At 39.1% G+C, this 23,959-nt stretch overlaps 1 protein-coding gene across 2 annotated transcripts; it reads left to right on the top strand.

Moving 5' to 3' along the window:
• The first annotated feature begins 3,606 nt into the window (after positions 1–3,606).
• On the top strand, positions 3,607–21,668 carry HEMGN (hemogen). Of its 2 annotated transcripts, NM_018437.5 has the most exons (5): positions 3,607–3,691; positions 10,268–10,401; positions 12,195–12,288; positions 17,238–18,424; positions 20,981–21,668. In NM_018437.5, the coding sequence occupies exons 2-5, from the start codon at positions 10,323–10,325 to the stop codon at positions 21,073–21,075; spliced, it is 1,455 nt and encodes a 484-aa protein (NP_060907.2). In that variant the 5' UTR covers positions 3,607–3,691; positions 10,268–10,322; the 3' UTR covers positions 21,076–21,668. The 2 variants fall into 2 exon arrangements, with proteins under 2 accessions (NP_060907.2, NP_932095.1); NM_197978.3 differs by lacking the exon at positions 3,607–3,691 and having other exon boundaries at positions 10,287–10,401.
• The last annotated feature ends 2,291 nt before the right edge of the window (positions 21,669–23,959 follow it).

Raw genomic sequence — 23,959 nt, 5'->3', positions numbered from 1 at the left:
ATCTAAAATGGACACCCTAACATCACAATTAAAAGAACTATAGAAGCAAGAGCAAACAAATTCAAAAGCTAGCAGAAGGCAAGAAATAACTAAGATTAGAGCAGAACTGAAGGAGATAGAGACACACACATACACAAAACCCTTCAAAAAATCAATGAATCCAGGAGCTGTTTTTTTTTAAAAGATCAACAAAATTGACACACCGCTAGCAAGACTAATAAAAGAAAAGAGAGAAGAATCAAATAGATGCAATAAAAAGTGATAAAGGGGATATCACCACTGATCCCACAGAAATACAAACTACCATCAGAGAATACTATAAACATCTCTACACAAATAAACTAGAAAATCTAGAAGAAATTGATGAATTCCTGGACACATACAGCCTCCCAAGACTAAACCAGGAAGAAGTGGAATCTCTGAATAGACCCATAATAGGCTCTGAAATTGAGGCAATAATTAATAGCCTACCAACCAAAAACAGTCCAGAACCAGATGGATTCACAGCCCAGTTATACCAGAGGTACAAATAGGAGCTGGTACCATTCCTTCTGAAACTATTCCAATCAATAGAAAAAGAGGGAATCCACCCTAACTCATTTTATGAGGTCAGCATCATCCTGATACCAAAGCCTTGCAGAGACACAACAAAAAAAGAGAATTTTAGACCAATATCCTTGATGAACATCGATGCAAAAATCCTCAATAAAATACTGGCAAACCAAATCCAGCAGCACATCAAAAAGTTTATCCGCCACGATCAAATCGGCTTCATCCCTGGGATGCAAGGCTGGTTCAACATATGCAAATCAATAAATGTAATCCATCACATAAACAGAACCAATGACAAAAACCACATGACTATCTGAATAGATGCAGAAAAGGCCTTTGACAAAATTCAACAGCCTTCACGCTAAAAACTCTCAATAAGATAGGTATTGATGGGACTTATTTCAAAATAATAAGAGCTATTTATGACAAACCCACAGCCAATATCATACTGAATGGGCAAAAACTGGAAGCATTCCCTTTGAAAACTGGCACAAGACAGGGATGCCCTCTCTCACCACTCCTATTCAACATAGTGTCAGAAGTTCTGGCTAGGGCAATCAGACAAGAGAAAGAAACAAAGGGTATTCAATTAGGAAAAGAGGAAGTCAAATTGTCCCTGTTTGCAGATGACGTAATTGTATATTTAGAAAACCCCATCATCTCAGCCCCAAATCTCCTTAAGCTGATAAGCAACTTCAGCAAAGTCTCAGGATACAAAATCAATGTGTAAAAATCACAAGCATTCCTATACACCAATAACAGACAAACGGAGAGCCAAATCATGAGTGAACTCCCATTCACAATTGCTACAAAGAGAACAAAATACTTAGGAATCCAACTTACAAGGGATGTGAAGGACCTCTTCAAGGAGAACTACAAACCACTGCTCAGCAAAATAAAAGAGGACGCAAACAAATGAAAGAACATTCCATGCTCATGGATAGGAAGAATCAATATTGTGAAAATGGCCATACTGCCCAAGGTAATTTATAGATTCAATGCCATCCCCATCAAGCTACCAATGACTTTCTTCACAGAATTGGAAAAAAACTACTTTAAAGTTCATATGGAACCAAAAAAGAGCCCGCATTGCCAAGACAATCCTAAGCAAAAAGAACAAAGCTGGAGATATCACGCTACCTGACTTCAAACTATACCACAAGGCTACAGTAGCCAAAACAGCATGGTACTGGTACCAAAACAGAGATATAGACCAATGGAACAGAACAGAGGCCTCAGAAATAACACCACACATCTACAACCATCTGATCTTTGACAAACCTGACAAAAACAAGAAATGGGGAAAGGATTCCCTATTTAATAAATGGTGTTGGAAAAACTGGATAGCCATATGTAGAAAGCTGAAACTGGATCCCTTCCTTACATCTTATACAAAAATTAATTCAAGATGGATTAAAGACTTAAATGTTAGATCTGAAACCATAGAAAACCTAGAAGAAAACCTAGGCAATACCATTCAGGAGATAGGCATGGGCAAGGACTTCATAACTAAAACACCAAAAGCAATGGCAACAAAAGCCAAAATAGACAAATGCAATCTAATCAAACTAAAGAGCTTCTGCACAGCACAACTACCATCAGAGTGAACAGGGAACCTACAGAATGGGAGAAAATTTTTGCAGTCTACCCATCTGACAAAGGGCTAATATCCAGAATCTACAAAGAACTTAAACAAATTTTCAAGAAAAAAACAAACAACCCCATCAAAAAGTGGGCAAAGGATATGAACAGACACTTCTCAAAAGAAGACATTTATGCAGCCAACAGACACATGAAAAAATGCTCATCATCACTGGTCATCAGAGAAATGCAAATCAAAACCACAGTGAGATACCATCTCACACCAGTTAGAATGGCGATCATTAAAAAGTCAGGAAACAACAGATGCTAGAGAGGATGTGGAGAAATAGGAATGCTTTTACACTGTTGGTGGGAATGTAAATTAGTTCGATTGTGGAAGACAGTGTGGTGATTCCTCAAGGATCTAGAACTAAAAATACCATTTGACCCAGTGATCCCATTACTGGGTATATACCCAAAGGATTATAAATCATGCAACTATAAAGAAACATGCACACATATGTTTATTGCAGTACTATTCACCATAGCAGAGACTTCGAACCAACTGAAATGTCCATCAATGATAGATTGGATTAAGAAAATGTGGCACATATATGCCATGGAATACTATGCAGCCATAAAAAAGGATGAGTTCACGTCCTTTGCAGGGAAGTGGATGAAGCTGGAAACCATCATTCTGAGCACACTATCACAAGGACAGAAAACCAGACACTGCATGTTCTCACTCATAGGTGGGAATTGAACAATGAGAACACTTGGACACAAGGAGGGGAACATCACACACTGGGGCCTGTCTGGGGGTGGGGGGCAGGGGGAGGGATAGCATTAGGAGAAATACCCAATGTAAATGACGAGTTAATGGGTGAAGCAAACCAACATATCACATGTATACCTATGTAACAAACCTGCACGTTGTGCACATGTACCCTAGAACTTAAAGTATTTATATATATATGTATATATATGTATGGTAAGATGTATATATATATATATATATGTATATATATGTATGGTAAGATGTATATATATATATATATATATATATATATAAAGATGTGCAAAAAAGTTATGTAACATTCACTACAAAAGAGGCTAAAATCAAGCATGGTTATAGCTCAGAAAGGAGAGACCACATCTAGGCAATTAAAGGGAATAGAACAGAATGGTTAAATCCCTAAACTTTACAGTCGGACAGCCTTAGTTTTGAGCCCTAATTCTGCCACTCATGAGTTTATGTGATCTAGGGATATAACCTCTTTAAACCATGGTTTTGTTATCAGTGAAATGGGGATACTATTAGTTGGAAAAATGAAATGAGATACTGCATATAAAGTGTCAGCTACCCATTATGAGTTTGTAGAGTGACTAAAGTCTCATCATATCATTGTCATCGTTGTCATCATCATCATCATCAAAGGCTTTGTGATTAAGGCACTCACTATCTGGATCGGCAGACATATGACAGAAGACTGAACAACCAGAAGTTATGAAGATAGGTACTGTGGGTGTTAGAAAGATTCACGGCAAAACAGGGAAGGCAAGTGGTACTATTTAATGGAAACATTGGGTAGTTCCAGGAAAGTAATGGGAAAGAACATTGGGAAGTTAGACTTAAATGCCAGACTGGGAAATTTAGTCTTTATTCTGCAGGCAATACTGAGGCTTTACAGGATTCTAAACATGGAAGTGACTGGTTCAGAGCCAGCTGTAGCAGGAATATTCTGGATGTTTGTGCAGGATGGACTTGGGAGGGTGAGGGCAGATGAAAGCAGATAGCCACTTAGGGAGCTTTTCCAATGCTTCCAATGAGAAGTTGAGGCCCCTCTCTGGGATGGTGGTATAGGACAGGAAAAGATGGAATGAGCATGTGGGACACTGGGAAGAAAGAACTGGCAGAACTGTATCTAGCTGAATGTGAGAGACAAAGTGAAGAGGCAGAGTCAAAGAGACTTCTGAAGGCTAAGAACTAGATGGCCAGGCATGGTACTACTATTCTAACAGAAATAAAGCACAGGGAGCCTAGTTTTAGGGGGGAACATATATTTGCTTTTAGTTATGCTAAGTTTGAGGTGCAGTGGGACATCCAGCTAATAAGTGATAACCAAGAAACACTTGGAAATGTGATCTTAGAACTCAGACATATTTATTTAGAAGACATCTGCAAAGAGGTAGTAGCTAAAAGTATATAGTTGGATCAACTGTCTTTGGGTAAGAGTATTAACTCAAAAGGATCAGGGACTCTTGGAAAACACCTCCCATACCTAGGGGAGTGAAAGAGAAGCCTGTGAGCAAGGAGGAGGAGAAGGGAGAGAGAGGTGAGAACACCACACCATCAGAGAGGCTCCACACCATCAGAGAGGCCAAAAGTGGAGCAAATTTCATGGAGGATAGGAGTACTCAGAGGAATTATAAGCTGCAGAGAGGTCAAAAAAGAAGAACTGAGAATGGACCACTGGATTTGGCCATTAGGAAATCATTGATGATTTATGAGAGAATGAGTGAAAGAAAAAGCTAGATTACATATGCAAAGCAATGAAATGGTGTAGGGGGAAAAGGAGACACTGAGAATATATTACTAGTTCAAGAAGTTCAGAAATGAAAGGACAGGGATAAGGGGGAGGCTCAAGGTGGGACCAGAATTGCTCTTCCCCAGATAAATGACCACTCATCAGTGTTTATTCAGAGATGTTTGTCTATACTCTAACAGAAGGAGCATTTGTGGGAGGATTCCAGAGGAGGGACTTTGGGACAAACTAGATTGAAAGGCAGGCTACAGCCATTCTAAGTTATAGAACATGTTATCTATATGTGTACAGCAGCATCTGTTTTAGCAGACAGAAGTCATTTATCATGCATCAACAGACTGAGAGAGAGGGGAACAAGAAACTGTCCTTCTCCTTCTCCACTTAGGAAAGCAAAGCTTGATCCAGTCTTTGAAAAGTATTTAAAAGCTTTGAAAAAGTATGTCAGCAAGGAAGGAATGCTAAGAAAAACAAGTGTCCATTGTGTTCCCTTCCATGACTTTTCCACCCAAATGTATTTTAGGAAATTGCCCAGGTGCATCATTAGAACACTCTAATATCACTATCAACACTGTCCGGGTTGATGGGACTTATATCTGCCGTGTTTTTCATTTTATAAAAAGCTCCCATGATCTCTTTTATCCTCACAGAATCCCCATGAGGTATTACCTTTCTCTATTTTACAAGGGAAGAAACTGAGGATCAGAAAGAATTAAGTGATTTTCCCCAAGTTACCCAGCCAGGAAAATGATAGAGCCCTGTACCCCTCATTCTTTTCAGTGTATGCTTTCATATAATATGGTCTTCACAGTATGGCTCTCTGACTATGGCATGACAAACCAAAGTGTACCAGGGCTCTCATCTCTCTGGTTTTGGAGGCGCTATAATTTTTATCAATATAGCCTTAAATGGCGTTAGCTTTGGGGCACTTTTACCCCGTCTTGTTTTTGACTAAACAGTATCCAGTACATGGCCTGAGCTATTTTTTCCTGTGCTCCCTTTTCACCCCCATCTTAAAGGGCCCTAGGGCAGAAGTTTCAGCAATGTGTTTCCTCCCTCCTTCATTTGCCCAGTTCAGTCAGGCCTCTGAAATGTATGACCAAATTCTCAATACTTACACCTGCTCCAGATGGTCAGGAAGCAGGAAAGCAACTCTCTCCCTCAATACCTAGTTTGTTCTAGTAGGAAGAGGGCCAGGCTGGGCTTGGTAGCTCATGCCTGTAATCCTAGCACTTTGGCACGCAAAGGCAGGGGTATTGCTTGAGCCCAGGAATTCAAGACCAGCCTGGGCAATGTGTCAAAACCCTATCTCTACAAAAAAAATACAAAAAATTAGCCAGGCATGGTGGTGTATGCCTGTAGTCCCAGCTACTTGGGAGGCTGAGGTGGGAGGATCACCTGAGCCCAGGGAGGTAGAGGCTGCAGTGAACTGTGATTGTGCCACTGCACTCCAGCCTGGGCAACAGAGTGAGACCCCATCTCAAAAACAAAAAAAAAAAAAAAAAAAAGAAGGAATTAGAGGGAATTGGAGGCTGAAGGCCCAGCTTCTGGTGCGAACTACCAGTCTCACTCTGTGATCTTAGTTATATCACTCAATGCACTGAGCACCAGTTTCTTCATCAGAAAAATGAGGACAATAATAGCTATGTTATAAGTCTGCTTCAAGGATCCAATGAAACACTTGTGAAACACTTGCTAGGTTTAATTTTCTGCTATAGCCATCTTGAAATTCTTAGCAATTTTTGAAGGAGAAGCCCTCTGTCTTCATTTTGCCATGGGTCCCCCAAAAATTATATAGCTGGTTTCATCTGCATGCCCTTGGCCAAGTTACTTCACCTCCATAATCTATAATTAATTTAAATGAATTGAATTGTTAGGAAATCAATTGTTAGGACAATTCTCAATCCTTCCTCTACTTTAGCAAAGTTTGACACAGTGGATTAGTCTCTCCTCCTTGAAACAGTCTTTCCTCTTGGCTTCCGAGACACTATATTTTTCCAGTTTTCCTCTGCCTCACTGGCTGCTCCTTTGCTGTTTTCTCCCTAACCTGTTAGCACATCCAAAATGAAACTCTTGATCATCTCCTCCAAGCCTGCTTCTCCCAATCTTCCTGATCTGTGAATGCTAACTCCATCCTTCCAGTTGTTCACAACAAATCTTTATCTTGATTCTTTATGTCTCACCCCATATTCAAGTTATAAGTTAATCCAGAATCTGACCATGGCTTCACCACTGCCATCATCCAAACCTTAATTATCTCTCATCTGGATCATTGCAATACCATTCTGATTGTTCTTCTTGCTTCCTCTGCCCCTGTCCCACATAGTAGCCAGAATAATTCTTTAAACATGTAAGTCAGATCGTATCACTCCTCTGTCCAAAACCATGCCATGACTACCCATCTCACTCAGAGTAGAAATCCTACAAGGGGCAATAATAGGCTTCTTCTCTGATCCCACCTCCTTAACACTCCCCTCCTTGGGCCATTTGCTGGTGCCCCTATACCTGGAATGCCCTCCCAGATATCAGCATGGCATATCTGGCCTCTCACCTCCATCAGTTCTGTTCACCTGTCACCCTATCAGTCAAGCCTTCTCTGACCACACTATTTAAAATAGCAGCCACCATCAACCTCCTTTTTCTTATCCTATTATGCCCAGCTCAGTTTTCTCCAAAGCACTTATCACCATCTGACACATTATATATTTTATTTATTTCCTTATTGTTTATCTCTCCCCATTAAAATGTAGGTTTCATAAAGGCAGGGACTTTGCTGTTCAATTACTCTATCTCTAACACATAGGACTGCGCTGGGCACAGAATGAATGACAGTAGAAAGAGCTCTGACACAGATGATGATATTGCTATTATTAAGTCACAGCAGCATCAAGCCCTGAGTGTATAAATTACTGTCCCAGGCTGCATGTTCATGAAGCAGGGAGTGAGGGCGATTATGGGGACTACAGTGAGCCAAGCCTCCCACCGGATCATACTGTGGAGACAGAAAAGTGAATCAGGAGCTGTATCTGCTCTCTAAGGGTTTGTGGCCTAGAGAGAGGTTTATGTATATATGCAAATAACTCTAGAACAAGGCAGCATTTGTCAAAAAATATGTGGACTTTAATGCCTAACACACATTCTGGAAATTCTAGTTAGAGAATTCTAACTAAATTTCTAACTAGAATTTTCTACAGAGAGAAGGGACCATGAACTGTGGCTTGTAAACTTACTGTAGGCTACTTCTGTCTCAAATTCCCACTCTGGCCTGTTTATCATGCCAGAGACACCTTGCCTGACTTCCAATCTAGTTTGCTCCAAAGTGTCTCTCCACTGGCCTCCTCCACCCAATATTACCTTCAATTTACTGTTAACTTGAAACCCCACCCTCTTACAGTCCCTCCACACTCTGCTTCTAGATACAGGGAACATGGGGCAGGGGTGGAATTGACTTAGGTAGGTTGTAGCAGGATATAAAGAATCTATTATTTCCTTGCAATACAGATGTACACACTTTCTCCTCTATGAGCCTACAGGGCACAGGGCTCAGGAACTGCACCATCCGTCTCTACAGCACAAGAGGGGGCATTAAGTAAAATTTGCTGAATTGTTGAACTGGGTGTTACAAGCTCTTAGTAAGGACAATTTTATTCAAGAAGTACCTCTGCATCCACTGAAGGTGTCCCAGAGGGATTCTATAATGTTATTTTATTAAACTATCCTAATGTAAGAAACAACCTAACTAATAAGAATTAAAACATATCAACTAAAGGGACCAATATTTAAAAAAACACTATTTTGTAATTTTTAAAGTTAGTTTGAGTTATTTAAACCCCATATCTGAAAATCCAAAATTTTCAAGCAAATAATGCCTGCTGTTCCGTGCAGGATTCCTTTGAGCAGGGGCTCCCTGAAGTTACCTGAACTTTTAGATACAGAGATTTACTTAAGAGAAGGACTGGGGAACTGAGAGAGGTAAAGCTAAATATTAGGGTTTAGTAATTAAAAACCAAGTTAAATTTTAGTGGCAGATACTTGGGTGTTTGTTATATCATTCTCGATACCCTTTAGTGTGTTTGACAGCTTGTTTCTCTAATATATTTACATGATACACACATTTTTATACCCAGGAAAGATCAAGCACACAAAATGATGACCCATCTCCTAATCTGTAAGAGATGCTGCTGGCAATAAGTAATAAAATACTAAGTATAGGTAACTCTCCTCCTCGGTTCTCAGTTTCTTTGTATACAAAATAGGCAGGGACTAGATGATTTTGGGCTCTTCCAGTTCTAATGCCTTAAGACTCCATGGAAGTAGTGGGTATCTATTCACATTACAAAGGTCTTTCTTTATAAAGAATCCTCTTCAGATTCTCTCTTTAGTGCATTTAAACTATGACTTGCTTTACCAAAATCTGGTTACTGTATTTTTATTGGTAGCTAACATTTACTGACCAAGTTCAATATGCTAGGCACACATAAAATGCCTCATATGGATTACTGGACTTAATCATCCCAGTAACTTTCTGAGGTAGATACCAATATTGTCCCCATGTTATAGATAGGTAAATTGACTCCAAGGCTATCTAACCTGCCTCAGGTCACTGAATTAGGGAATGTCAACACTGGAATTCAAACTCACTTCAATTCAATCTGAATCCAGAACACATATATTAATCCTGCATCTCCCAGACTGGCTTCCTGTATCAGGAGGTGCTCAGGGTTTCTTCTTTAGTTGAACCATAGTAGTCTGTGGCTCCTTGTCTTCACAAATGGGGTTACTGCTTGGAGATAGGATGGTTCCTTTGATTATTTCAACTTAATTTCTGGGATATAATGTGGTGATATTTTCATTAAGAAGTAATTTTTCACCTTCCCCTATATGAGTAACAATGGATTTCACTAGTTATCTTGAGTCACTTGCGAATGATTTGGTGAGCCAAAAAGGGTACAAAATTGCTGTGAAATTCTAATTTGGTTCTTTATGTCTATTTCTTAACTAAGTCTAACAGCATACACAGCAAAACTGTACATTATTTTGCAACAGATTAAGGTGAAAAAAGCTACATACAGGAAACCATGTAAGATTAATATATATCACACTTTCTAGAAACTTTTATATCTATTATTTTCACTTTCACAAGAACCGTATGAAGTAGGCAAGACAGGAATTATTTACCCATTTTGCAAATGCAGAGAGTCATAGAAAAGGGAGGTGACTTGCCCTGGGCCACTGAGCTGGTTGGGGCCTAGATTGTGTTCTTTCTACACTAGGCTACCTCCATCTGTAAAAAGGAACATCGGATCCAGACACTTCCTGGCAGATAGAACCAAAAGAGTGCTGACTAGAGGCTGTGCCATGCCAGGCTGTGGTCAGAGAGTTTCCCTGTATAAATAGCAACCTATGCTAGGGGTTGCTAGCACCAGCCATTTCCCCTACTCACACCTGTGCAGTGTGATAAAGATAGTAGAATTAGCCTGCAGTTGTGGTCCAACCAGATAAAACTTTTAGGCGGGAAGTCAAGTGACAGGCAAACTTGTGTGTGTGGTTTTTTTTTTTAAGTGTTAGATGTTTTTGATATTTTAAAAAAGCATCTAGGCTGCTTGTGGAAGTCAGACCAAAATAGCAGGAAGGTATTGCAGCAAGATGGATTTGGGAAAGGACCAATCTCATTTGAAGCACCATCAGACACCTGACCCTCATCAAGAAGAGAACCATTCTCCAGGTAATGAAAAATACCTTAAGAGCTGGTGGCTGTTGAGAAGAATTCGGGGTATGATAATTTTCTCTTTTCAATGGATCTGGCCAAAAAAAAAAAAAAAGGAAATAAATGAAAGCTAATGAGACTAGTTCATCCAATAATTTCATTCGATGGCTGTGGTAAAACAAGTGGATTCATACATTTCTATGGCAGCACAAATTTGGTCTAACGTTTGGAAAGAGATCTGGCAATAAGTGGTGAGAGCTATAATACTGCTTATTCTTTTGACTCACTAATCTCAGTCCTTGGATCTATCCTAAAGCAACATTTCTCAAAATGTTTTGTGGAAACTTAGGCCTTGAGATACCTTAAGACATTGTTTTAAATTTTTTTTGCTACATGGATCTCTTTGGCATTCTGATGAACCCAGAGACTCCTTCTTTGAATAAAATTTTTAAAGGCATAAAATTAAATATATAAGACTAGAAAGGGAATAATTACATTAAGATACAAATATCAAAATAAAAAATTATTATATAGTAATATATATGATTATTTATAGATTACAATATCCAGTGGTGGGTCTAATAATAGTATCAAGTCAAATAAGTCATAGCCAGTAGGTGATATTTTAAGGTATCTGCAACAACTATAATGTGATAAAAAAATATGTGATTTCTTTATAGGGACCAAGTCATATGCTGAGGGGGAGGGAGAGCATCAGGAAGAATAGATAATAGATGCTGGGCTTAATACCTAGGTGATGGGATGATCTGCACAGCAAACCACCATGGCACATGTATACCTATGTAACAAACCTGCATATCCTGCACATGAACCCCTGAACTTAAAATAAAAGTTGAAAAAAAAGTCATATACTGCCAAAACTACTGTGGTTTGTTATCTACATTCATAATTGAAGGAACTGTCAATTTTAATTAGAGGTTGGTAAAAATAAAGATATAATTTTTCCTATTAAGAACCCTTATCCCAAGAACAAGAGGCACCATGGTTCAAGGGGCATGCTCTATTCTTTAGAGGTCCCAGTGTGGATTTGTATCACTTCACAGGCTCTAGGAAGCTCTGCATCAAAGACTCATCAATTTTTCTCAACCTTAGACAGCAGCAGAAACTTTTTTGATCAAACCCTTAATTTTCCAAAGAACTTGAAAAAACACCGTTCTAAGGAAAAAATACCAAAGAAAAGCTATATGCAATGAATATGCTTATTATAATTTGATATACAAGGCAAAGATAACTAGCAACAATCTAAATGCTCAATCCAAGAGGAATGATTGGGTAAATGAGAGTACATCAACTAGACTATGTATCACATTGTCATTAAAATTATCATTATGAAGACTACGTCATGGAAAATAGTTCTAATATAACGCTAGCTTAATAAAAAGATTAAAATTGTGGTATGCTATTCTTACAACTTTGTGTAATATAAAGACTGGATAGAAGTGAGGAATAAAATGAAAACAAGTTATCATGTTAAAGACAGCAAAATATGGCTACTTTTTTCATTATTTGTACAATATATAAAATTACTTTGAAGAAATTAATAGGTTGGTAGCACACTTATGTACAAATACTATGTAGGAGTAGGTCTCTGACCTTTTCATTCAAAAACATTTGCTGAATGTCTGCTTCCAGGCTTTCTCTGGAGATACAAGGATAAATGAGATGCAGTCCTTGTCCTCAAAAAGCTAGGAGAAAAACCTAGAACAGAGACTCTGCCACTTGGCTACAGGACTTTTGCTGATAGACACCACAGTTCATCACTTTTTCTAATCACTTTCATTTTATTACAGAAGTCATTGGAACCTGGAGTTTGAGAAACAGAGAACTACTTAGAAAAAGAAAAGCTGAAGTGCATGAAAAGGAAACATCACAATGGCTATTTGGGTATGGTAGCATCACAAGGGAAAGGGAACTAATATATTTATTGAGGATGTTATGCATAAAGTAGTGCTGTGCACTTTACACACTGTATTTTATCTTTCCAACAATCCTGTAAATCAGACATGGTTATCCCTATTTTACAGAAAAACAGAGACTAAGCCTCCAGTGAGTTACACCTCTTGCCTAAAGTCACACACACAGCTGGTAAAATGGTGGGAACAGAATTTTTTCCCTGGTCTCTTTTAATTAAAGCACTGAGCAACCGAATTATATTGTAGAGAAGCCTGGCGTTTAGCTCCTAGGTAATATAAACATAGAAGCATCCTGTTGGGAGTGGGAAACATCATTGAAGAAGCCTCCAAGATTGTTCGCCAAGCTTTCTATTAGCTAAATCTTTACTGAATGAGTGTGATTAACTCTCCATGGAATAAGCCAAAACATTCGCTGTAAATGAGTGACAAAGAGTTTAGATAACCTGTATGTTCACCTGTATGTAAATGCAGGAAGGGGGTACAATAACATGACTGTAAATTAGGCGACATCTAATTGCATCCATTTCAAATATGATTGTGGAAACTGGGGACTTGCTTGCTTGGAAGGGGAGCCCAAAGAGCCAAAAGTGCAGCATCCATCTAAGCCAAAGTGTCTCCACCTTGGCACTGCTGACACTGGGGGCAGGAGAACTTCCTGTTGTGTGGGGGGCTGGCTTGTGCACTGCAGATGTTTTGTAGCATTTTCTGGCCTCTAGATGCCAACAGCACCTTCCACCCCAGCTGTGACAACAAAATGTCTCCAAACATTGTCAAAAGTCTTCTGGGGTGGGGTTGGGGGAAGACAGGCAAAATCATCCCCAGTTGAGAACCACTAATTTAAGCAAAGCACTCTTCCTAAGAAAGGGCATTTTCCAATCCCCAAACCCCGCTGTGGACTGAGCACTGTCTGTTCTGCTACAACAGATGTTTCTATAACACCAAGTTCACATACGATTGATAAATAGGAGAATGATGTCAGTATAATGTGGGGGTTGTGTTGGTTCATGATTTTTTCCTAGTCAGAAGAAAGCAGAATAGTGGGAAGAGAATTAAAGCTTTCAGCTGGAAAGAAAAAGCCTTCAGCTTGGCTGTTGTATAAGCAGGATTCTTTTCAGCCAGCATCCAGGGTTCCCTCCTCAGAGAGGCACAACACCAGCCTTGCGCAGCTCTCCATCAAGTGGCAGCTTGCACTTCCCTCCTGTGCCCAACTTAACGGCAACCCCGCTGGCTCAGAGCTCAGGTCTCAGCAGCTTCAAGCCTGCAATTACACTATATTTGCATTTACTATCCCCTGAGGCAGCCTCCAGCCACAGTAAACTGCTTGTCTAGACCATCCAAGTTCTCTCTCCTGGTACCAATTATTGTTTTAGTTAGTGTTAAAATGTTGCAAGGGTTTTGAATCATTTGTCCCAAGCCTATTTGCCCCACCTCCATAACCACTGTAACTTTATAGAGGATGATTTTGCAGAAAGTGAGGTTTTTTTAGGAACACGTGTATCATTTTACAGTAGAAATATTTGTATTAGGGTCCTGTGGCAGGTCTATTGAAGATTATCCAATTAGCTCCCAAATTCCATACCACTAAGCAATCTTCCAATCATTACTTGGCTTCCCAAGTACTTATCTACAGAGACGGTGCATTTGTTTGGGAGCCCAGAACCCAGGTATTCTCCTCCCCTCCCCTCCCCCCTCCCCTCCCCTCCCCCTCCTCTCCCCCATCCCCTCCTCTCTCCTCCCCTCTCCTCTCCTTTTCTTTTTTCTCTTTCTCTCATTCATTCATTCATTCACTCGTTTTGAGACAGAGTCTCACTCTGCTGCCCAGGCTGGAGTGCAGTGGCACAATCTCGGCTCACTGCAACCTCTGCCTCCCAGGTTCAAGTGACTCTCCTGCCTCAGCTCCCAAGTAGCTGGGAATACAGGCACTGGCCACCACGCCCAGCTAGTTTTTGTATTTTTTAGTAGAGACGGGGTTTCGCCATGATGGCCAGGCTGGTCTGGAACTCCTGGCTTCAAGTGATTCGCCCACCTTGGCCTCCCAAAGTGCTGGGATTACAGGCGTGAGCCACTGTGCCCAGCCAGTCCAGGTATTTTCTACTATGTGACTTTGTATGTCTGTTCATTTAAAAATTGGTCTTTAGGTTTATATGTCAGTCTCCTTAAATCTGCTTGATGAGCTCTGCCCCTGATAAATGGAGGTAGTCTCAGTGTGCTAACAGAATCAGGTTTCTGGGCTTGCTGGGCTGAGGGTATTCACTCAAATGGATAACACCTTAGTGAGCCTCTTGGCAGCTGGCTGGACTTGCTCTGGTGATACATCTCTATAATGCTAAGGCCTGTGCCCTCTTTTCTCACTACAACACACCATACAGTGAAACTTTATTAGTTTCAGAGAGAGGCAGCAGAGTGCATGGTTATGAGCCTGGCTGTTAAAGCCAGAATGACTAGATTCGTAGCCTGGCTCCCCTACTTGGTAGCCAGAGCCCTTGGAAATATTATGGAAAATAAATAATTCTCATTATAAACGAATAGATTGGCACTCTGGTTTATATACTAGTCTCTTTGCATTTAGTCTGTGTGTATTACTTCACTACCCCTGAGTAAACTCATACTCAGGGTTTCTAGACCTGCAATCCAGGCACGGCTCCTTATCTGTGCAGCCTGCAGGTGGATAATGTATATGGCTTGATTATCAAATACAAGTGTTGGGCAAGTTACTCAACATCTCTGTGTTTCAGTTTTGTCATTTGCAAAATGAAAATAATAACTACCTACTTCATAGACTGATGTGAAGATTATATGAGATAACAAAATAACTAAATTATTTAAACGGTGCCTGACATATACAAGCACTATAAGTGTTTCCTGTATTCATATGAGTCCTAATTTATATTTGAATAATTCATTCATGTAAGTTATTATATATAATTCTTATAACCACCACATGAAATTGGGCCGATATTATTTACCTCATTTCACTTACAAGGAAACCAAGGCATGTAGAGGTTAAGTGACTTGCCCACAACCATGAGAGAGTACAGACTAAAGTTTAGGCCACATAGGTATTTTTTGCATTTTTTGAAAAACTACCTGGGAAGACATGGACTATTACATTACTCAGATCTCCTCATACAGAGATTTAAATAACAACTTCTTTAGGATTTAATATCTAGGAAAAAATATGTGTTTCCTAAGGAACTTGGATTACTATTAATATCTTTTTCAAAAAATTTATCAGAATTTTATGATTTATCTTGTCACCTTGGTTACTTGTAGTAATAGTTCAAAATGCTGAGGTGCCATAACCATCATCTTTAGATTTCCTTTTTTTTTTTTTTTTTGAGACAGAGTCTCATTCTGTCACCCAGGCTGGAGTGCAGTGGCACAATCTCAGCTCACTGCAACCTCCATCTCCTGGGTTCAAGCGATTCTCTTGCCTCAGCCTCCCAAGTAGCTGGGATTACAGACGCGCACCACCATGCCTGGCTAATTTTTGTATTTTTAGTAGAGACGGGGTTTCACTATGTTGGCCAGGCTGGTCTTGAACTCCTGATCTCGTGATCCACCAGCCTCGGCCTCCCAGAGTGCTGGGATTACAGGCGTGAGCCAACGCACCCGGCCTAGATTTCCTTTTTTAAATATAATTTTCAATATTATTTTAGACTGCTCTGTTACATCTATACCTTTTTTTCTTTTTTTCTATAGCCTCATATTAGAAGTGAACATATATACTTTTTTGGTATTGACTTCAAACTGTGTTTGGTGAGGTAATCTTTTAAAAACACTTTTTTACAACGGAAATTTCAAACATACACAAAAAATGGAACAGGGTATACTTTTTTTAAATATGCAAGGAACGATGGGCACTATAAAGATGTAAAAAACACTGGTTTTTATCTCCAAAGACTGTCTAAAATGTTTACTAAAAGAAATACAGTTTCTTCAGAAATAACTACAGTATGAGGCAGCCTACATTCCTTGCCTTTAGCATGGTACACCCAATAAGTCCTATAGGAGTGCTAAGCTGGGAGAGCATTTTAGTCCTGTAGTCTCTTAGAGAAGGCTCCATGGAGCGGGTAGCATGAAACAGAATTTCAGTAGATTTAGAAAAATGATGAAATGCTTATTTATAGTACTTCCCCCAGCCCCCAGCCCCCAGCCCATCTGTATTAGCCATCTGTATTTGGTTGTATTTGCAGTGCCTAACAATTTGTCACTGGCTGCAATTACCATGCATATCCTTTCATCTTCTAGATCTTTAATTTATTAATTAGGAATAGGTATAATATGGCCACTCATGCCTATCTACCTGACTTCTTAACTTCAAGAAGTGCTTTTGCAGCTTTTGACCCCTTACAGTATACCTCATTTGATATATACTGTAGCAACTTAGAATTCTTTACACAAAATAATGTATTTGATAATCAAGCCATATACAGCATCCACCTGCAGGCTGCACAGACGAGGAGCTGTGCCAGGTCTAGAAACTCGATTTGTATGAGTTTACTCAGGGGTAGGGAAGTAACACACAAAGACTAAATGCAAAGAGACTAGTGTATAAACCAGAATGCCACTCTATTAATTTGTAATGAGAATTATTTATTTTCCATAACAAAACTTTAAGAATATGCTATAACACACGCACGCACGCATACGCGCATGCACTACCCTCACCAAGAAGGCTCCTGGTAAGCATGGTATCAATGCCACGAAGTCCTGGAGAAACATTCCCTCTCCTAAGAATTGAGAACATCTAGAGCTGCTCCTTCATTTTACAAACAAGGAGATTGAGGCCCAGAGAGATTAAGTGACTAGTTCATGATACTTGTGCAATGAGGCAGTGGGGGACCTGGCACTGTTATTACAAGCATTTATTTGAATTCTGTAGTACCACTGCTGACACTAATTCTGTTCTTTCTGCAGAGAACAGAAAAAACGCAAGCAGCAGAGAACAGGAAAAGGAAATCGAAGAGGCAGAAAGAGACAACAAAACACAGAATTGAAGGTGGAGCCTCAGCCACAGATAGAAAAGGAAATAGTGGAGAAAGCACTGGCACCTATAGAGAAAAAAACTGAGCCACCTGGGAGCATAACCAAAGTATTTCCTTCAGTAGCCTCCCCGCAAAAAGTTGTGCCTGAGGAACACTTTTCTGAAATATGTCAAGAAAGTAACATATATCAGGAGAATTTTTCTGAGTACCAAGAAATAGCAGTACAAAACCATTCTTCTGAAACATGCCAACATGTGTCTGAACCTGAAGACCTCTCTCCTAAAATGTACCAAGAAATATCTGTACTTCAAGACAATTCTTCCAAAATATGCCAAGACATGAAGGAACCTGAAGACAACTCTCCTAACACATGCCAAGTAATATCTGTAATTCAAGACCATCCTTTCAAAATGTACCAAGATATGGCTAAACGAGAAGATCTGGCTCCTAAAATGTGCCAAGAAGCTGCTGTACCCAAAATCCTTCCTTGTCCAACATCTGAAGACACAGCTGATCTGGCAGGATGCTCTCTTCAAGCATATCCAAAACCAGATGTGCCTAAAGGCTATATTCTTGACACAGACCAAAATCCAGCAGAACCAGAGGAATACAATGAAACAGATCAAGGAATAGCTGAGACAGAAGGCCTTTTTCCTAAAATACAAGAAATAGCTGAGCCTAAAGACCTTTCTACAAAAACACACCAAGAATCAGCTGAACCTAAATACCTTCCTCATAAAACATGTAACGAAATTATTGTGCCTAAAGCCCCCTCTCATAAAACAATCCAAGAAACACCTCATTCTGAAGACTATTCAATTGAAATAAACCAAGAAACTCCTGGGTCTGAAAAATATTCACCTGAAACGTATCAAGAAATACCTGGGCTTGAAGAATATTCACCTGAAATATACCAAGAAACATCCCAGCTTGAAGAATATTCACCTGAAATATACCAAGAAACACCGGGGCCTGAAGACCTCTCTACTGAGACATATAAAAATAAGGATGTGCCTAAAGAATGCTTTCCAGAACCACACCAAGAAACAGGTGGGCCCCAAGGCCAGGATCCTAAAGCACACCAGGAAGATGCTAAAGATGCTTATACTTTTCCTCAAGGTAAGGGCTGTTTATAGCACCAAGGTAGGTACATCTCCCCCAGAGTAGTGATTTACAACTTTCTCTGACAATCCTGGGTATTCCCTGTTATTTCAATGGATACTGTGAATTTCATTGACTAGTTTTAAGTGAACAATATTTTCATGCAACCAACGTCTGTCTTGGCATATTTCAAAGAGTTAAAAAAATTGAAAATGCAAGCATGTACATTAAGTACTTATTCATACTATCCATCCATTATGAGATGCTATAGTCAGTGAAATGAACCCAATATAGGATGAATTATTGCAAAATATTTTTAAAAATTAAGTCTACATTAACAAGAAAGCTTGATGAATGAAGTTTTTCTAGGAAATTTAATTTGCCTGATAAATGGAAAGCAGGTAAATTCATAGTACGAAGTACTGAGGGAGATAAAAGCTGTAAAATATAATCCTGTTACTAGGGAATTCATTCTTGTAGGATTTATCAGGTTTACCAAAAACCCTTTCTATTTCAAGATTTGTTCCTGAAAAACTTTTTCCTAAGTATAGGAATTTGAAAATAATGCAACCTTTCTTTAATTTCACTTGCCTCAGAGACATAACTGAGAACTTCAGCTCTCTTTGTACAATACTGTAGACAGTATAAGAAATGGACTGAGTCTATCAGACCATAGTTATCCCCAGGAAACTGATTTCTAAAGAAATCCCTTTAGTAGTTTACTTGCTCTTTATCCTAAAAGATGAGTGCAACAAAAACATGGTGCTAGTTGGTTTCCAAGTAATACCAGTTTTGAAGAACTACTTTAAAGAAATACATTGCAGCAAAAGCAGGCATGTGAAGCAGTACGTGCACTGACAGGAGTACCCTGCTGGAGAAGCAGCTCTAACCAACACAGCGTCCTGATTCCTAACTGCTTCATTCTAAACCCAGCAAGGTCGATATGGTCAATTAATTAACGCTTATTTTATTTTTGGCTTTGTTTGACCAAATAAATGGGAATATCTATTTTTCCTGATTATAAAAGTAGTAAGTGTTCATTATAATAAAGCAATATGTAAGTGAATATCAAGTAAAGTAAAAGTCCCCTATAATACCATCTTCTATCTTCAGTTCCCAATGTTAAGGTTGTTTTGTTTCAACAAATGAGACAGTACCCATCCTATCCTGTAACTTGTTTTTGTTTTCATTTACAATATGTATTGCAGCCATCTTTATGATGTCTTTTGTAACAACTGCATAGTACTGTGCTATATGTATATTCAACCAGTCTCTATAAGGATGAACACTTAGGTTACTGCCAAGTTTTACTATTACAACAATGTTCAATGAACATCATTGGGAATAACATTTATTTAGTTAACATTTATCTGGTACTTTTCTATGTGCCAGACACCATATTAAATATTTTATGTGGTTTATTTTATTCAATGTTAAAAGCTCTACTGGATAAATAATACTCCCATTCTAAATATAAGGAAATGGAGGCACTGGAGGCTGAAGTTTGTCTGATTATTTCCTTTGAATCAACCCCTAGAAATCAAATTGTTGGGCCAAACGGTACCCAAATTTAAAGTTTGAATATACAGTCAGTCAGACTAGCCTCCAGAAATGTGGTAGCAATTCACACGAGACAGGTGCCTTTTCCCCACACCCTTGTCAGCACTGTACATTATGACATTTTAAAAATCCTTGTCTGTCTGCTAGGTTAAAAAATACACTTGATCGGCCGGGCGCGGTGGCTCACGCCTGTAATCCCAGCACGTTGGGAGGCCGAGGTGGGCGGATCACGAGGTCAGGAGATCGAGACCATTCTGGCTAACACGATGAAACCCCGTCTCTACTAAAATTACAAAAAATTAGCCGGGCGCGGTGGCGGGCGCCTGTAGTCCCAGCTACTCGGGAGGCTGAAGCAGGAGAATGGCGTGAACCCGGGAGGCGGAGCTTGCAGTGAGCAGAGATCGCGCCACTGCACTCCAGCCTGGGCGACAGAGCGAGACTCCGGCTCAAAAAAAAAAAAAAAAAAATACACTTGATCTTAGCCAAAAGGCTGAGAAGTGATAGGTTAAAAAATAAAACACACCTAATGGTCTTAATCACCCCCTTTTATAATTAATGTTACTAGACATCTTTTCAGGATTATTATAAATATAATTTTTTAAGAATTGCCTGTTTGAATCCTTATCCCATTCAACATTTTTTATTTCTTTTTTCCGATTAAAAAACCTCTTTAAATAATAGTTTTTACTATGTATATGTTGCAAATATTTTTCCAGTTGTCTTTGATTTGGTTTAACTTTGTTTATAGTGGTTTTCACCATATATAATTTTACTTTTTAGGTATTCGAACTTGCTAGTCTTTTCCTTTATGGTTTCTGGTCTCTGTGTTCTGCTTAGCATCCTAAGATTACTAAAAACACTATTATTTCTATAACTTTATGGTATTTAAAAATTTACCCCATCTACGGTTTGTTGTTGTGTATGTTGTAAAGCAGTTTTTCTTCCTCCAAATGGAGAGTCAATTGTCCCAATACAATTTATTGAATCTATTTTTTATTTTATTTGATTTTACAGAAATGAAAGAAAAACCCAAAGAAGAGCCAGGAATACCAGCAATTCTGAATGAGAGTCATCCAGAAAATGATGTCTATAGTTATGTTTTGTTTTAACAATGCTCAACCATAAAGTTGTGGTCCAATGGAACATACAGCTTAATAGTTTATGCGTGATTTTCTCAAAATATTGTAAAACTTTTGACAATGCTCATTAATATTATTTTTTCTATTTGTAGACCATATCTGAAAGAAATAACATTTTTTAAGGCTCTACCACATAGACAATATCATGCTAGAATGTGTGTGTGTGTGTGTGTGTGTGTGTGTGTATGTATGTATAGGTCGGGGAGAGGATAGTGGTGGGAACAGACAAATAAGGAAGCGGGGAGGACTGGATAATTGGTTTTCCCCCCTAAGAACATTTATTTACGTCTTAAGAGCAGATAAGTGACTAAGACTGAACACATACATTTTGTGGAGTATATAGTTTTCTTGTAAATGCTGTTCAATTATTAATGTAACAGTAGCATCAAAATTTTATTCAGGCTTTAGTTGACTCTTTTGGTCAGTTTTAACAATTCTCCTTAAAAGATATTTTGGAGTGATGAATGTAGTTTACTTTTGTATTTGAATTTTGATTTTCTATTTTTATTTTTTAAATATTGTATTTGTGCACAATGTACATTAAATCATTATTACATGCTTAACTGTGTGGATACCATCATGTTAAGAATTGCGGAGGTTAGAAGACCTATCTAACACCCCACGGTGGGGTTAATTTGGTTTCATGGGGAAATAAAACAGAAAACAAATAATCACAAAAGAAAATAGTAAGGGCTGGTGCCATTTGAATGGTAGATACAAACAGAGAATGCTCACTTTTTGCTGGAGTGACCTGAAAAAATTACACAGGCATGAAGCCTTGAAAGACGGAAAGTATTTGCATAGATGAGGATAGCAGCATTACTGTATGTGACAAAGAGAAGGGTGAGTTCAAAACATGTTCAAGAGAACTGCAGGCAAACTATGGTTAATGTAGAGTCCATATGAAATAGTAGTAGGCTTGCATGCTGAAAAGCTCATATTACTAGAGCATAGAATATTTTGCTTACCTAACCAAGAAATATATCACTTGTTAAAAATGGGGAATGAAGTCAGATTTTTGAACAATGGAATGGCAATTTCACTATTTTAGGAATATGGTAAATATGGTGATAATGGTAAAGATTAACTGAAAACGACAAGAGACCGGGGCAGGAATAGAAGCTGTTCTGGATGGGAAGATGTCTGAAAATCTACCCTGGTATTTTTTGTTTTCACTTTTCCTTCTGTTATTACAGAGGACTAAGGATATTTTTGCAAATAAAGTTTCATTCAGCAAGAACACACTTGCACAAGCTTTCCATATAGACACTGTGCTAGGTACTAGCTATATCAAAGAACAAGACAGGGTCACAGTCCCTCAGGCATTCATGGTATAATGAACATGAGAGAGCAGTGGTTCTTTCAACCCTTCTGGTACATTAGACTCACCTGGGAAGGTTTCAAAAATACATATATGTCCAGACTTCTCCCCCAGGGATTCAGATTCCCCCATCTAGCTGATGTACAGGCATAGGTATATTTATTTTTTAATTGTTTTATGCTTCAAATAATAGTTTTTGGAGGAATAATTTTAGAATTACAGAAAAGTTGTCATGATAGTACAAAAGTTACTATATACCTTTCGCCCAGTTTACACCAATGTTAACGTCTTACATAACCATGGGCCATTTGTCAAAACTAAGAAATCAGGATAGTTACACTACCATTAACTACAGACATTATTCCGTTTTCATGAATTTTTCCACTAATGTGCTTTGTCTGCTTCAGGGTCCAATCCAGGATATAGAATTGCATTTAGGATGTTTTTATTTTAAAAGCTCTCCTGACAATCCTAAAGTGGAGGTAGGGTTGAGAACCAATAGTACAGTGGGATGTTACAATATTGTTTCCCTCCTATCTGCCTACCCCCTTTTGTGTGTACATTAAATTTTTTACCATCAGGATGTATTCATTGCACAATTATTCATACCCCTATTATATTTATTACACAACATACTGAGGGCAGGGCAGCACAACCACATAATAGTTTCGTCTCTTTTTTTTTTTTTTTTTTTTGAGACGGAGTCTCACTCTGTCGCCCAGGCTGGAGTGCAGTGGCACCATCTCGGCTCACTGCAAGCTCCGCCTCCTGGGTTCACGACATTCTCCTGCCTCAGCCTCCCGACTAGCTGGGACTACAGGCGCCCGCCACCACGCTTGGCTATTTTTTTTTTTTTTTTGTATTTTTAGTAGACGGGGTTTCACCATGTTAGCCAGGATGGTCTCAATCTCCTGACCTCGTGATCCTCCTCGGCCTCCCAAAGTGCTGGGATTACAGGAGTGAGCCACCGCGCCCGGCCACAACCATATAATAGTTTCTTACCTCTCAATGACACTTCAACATTTATACTTTCACATAAACTATTTTATTTGATCTGTACAAAAGTATGTGAAATAGGCCAGGCGGTGATTATCACTCTCACTTAAAGATGAGGGAATAACATAGAGGGAAGGTACTCACCCAAAGTCACATCTGACTTCCTCAGTGCTTTTTTTTCTTCTTTGGAATGTGCTTCTGTCTCAATTTCACCTGCCAGAGTGGGCCAAAATTAGAGGAAAAAAAAGAGTAAACTGAAGTCTCAAGTTCTAACAGCGTTGCATTAAGATGGACCTTAAGAGATTTGCATACGTACAGTGCACAGGAGCACAAAGATGAGATGGGGAAGGAGAGGGAAAGAGGAATGCAGTACATTAGAGGAAGCAGAATTTCTCTCTCCACCTCTCGGGACCCTTTCTGCTTGCCCTCTTACATCACTCCCTGCATTCACACACCACTTCTGCTTTCTCACCATTCTTGTTTAAACATCACTGTGCATCTAAAATTCTTCTGGCGTTCTTCTTGGCTTAGAACCTT

This window comes from Homo sapiens, chromosome 9 (genome assembly GCF_000001405.40).
Source record: "Homo sapiens chromosome 9, GRCh38.p14 Primary Assembly".
Taxonomy (NCBI): Eukaryota; Metazoa; Chordata; class Mammalia; order Primates; family Hominidae; genus Homo; species Homo sapiens.
The sequence above is the reverse complement of the archived record's forward strand: the minus strand, read 5'-3'. Positions and strand labels throughout refer to the sequence as shown.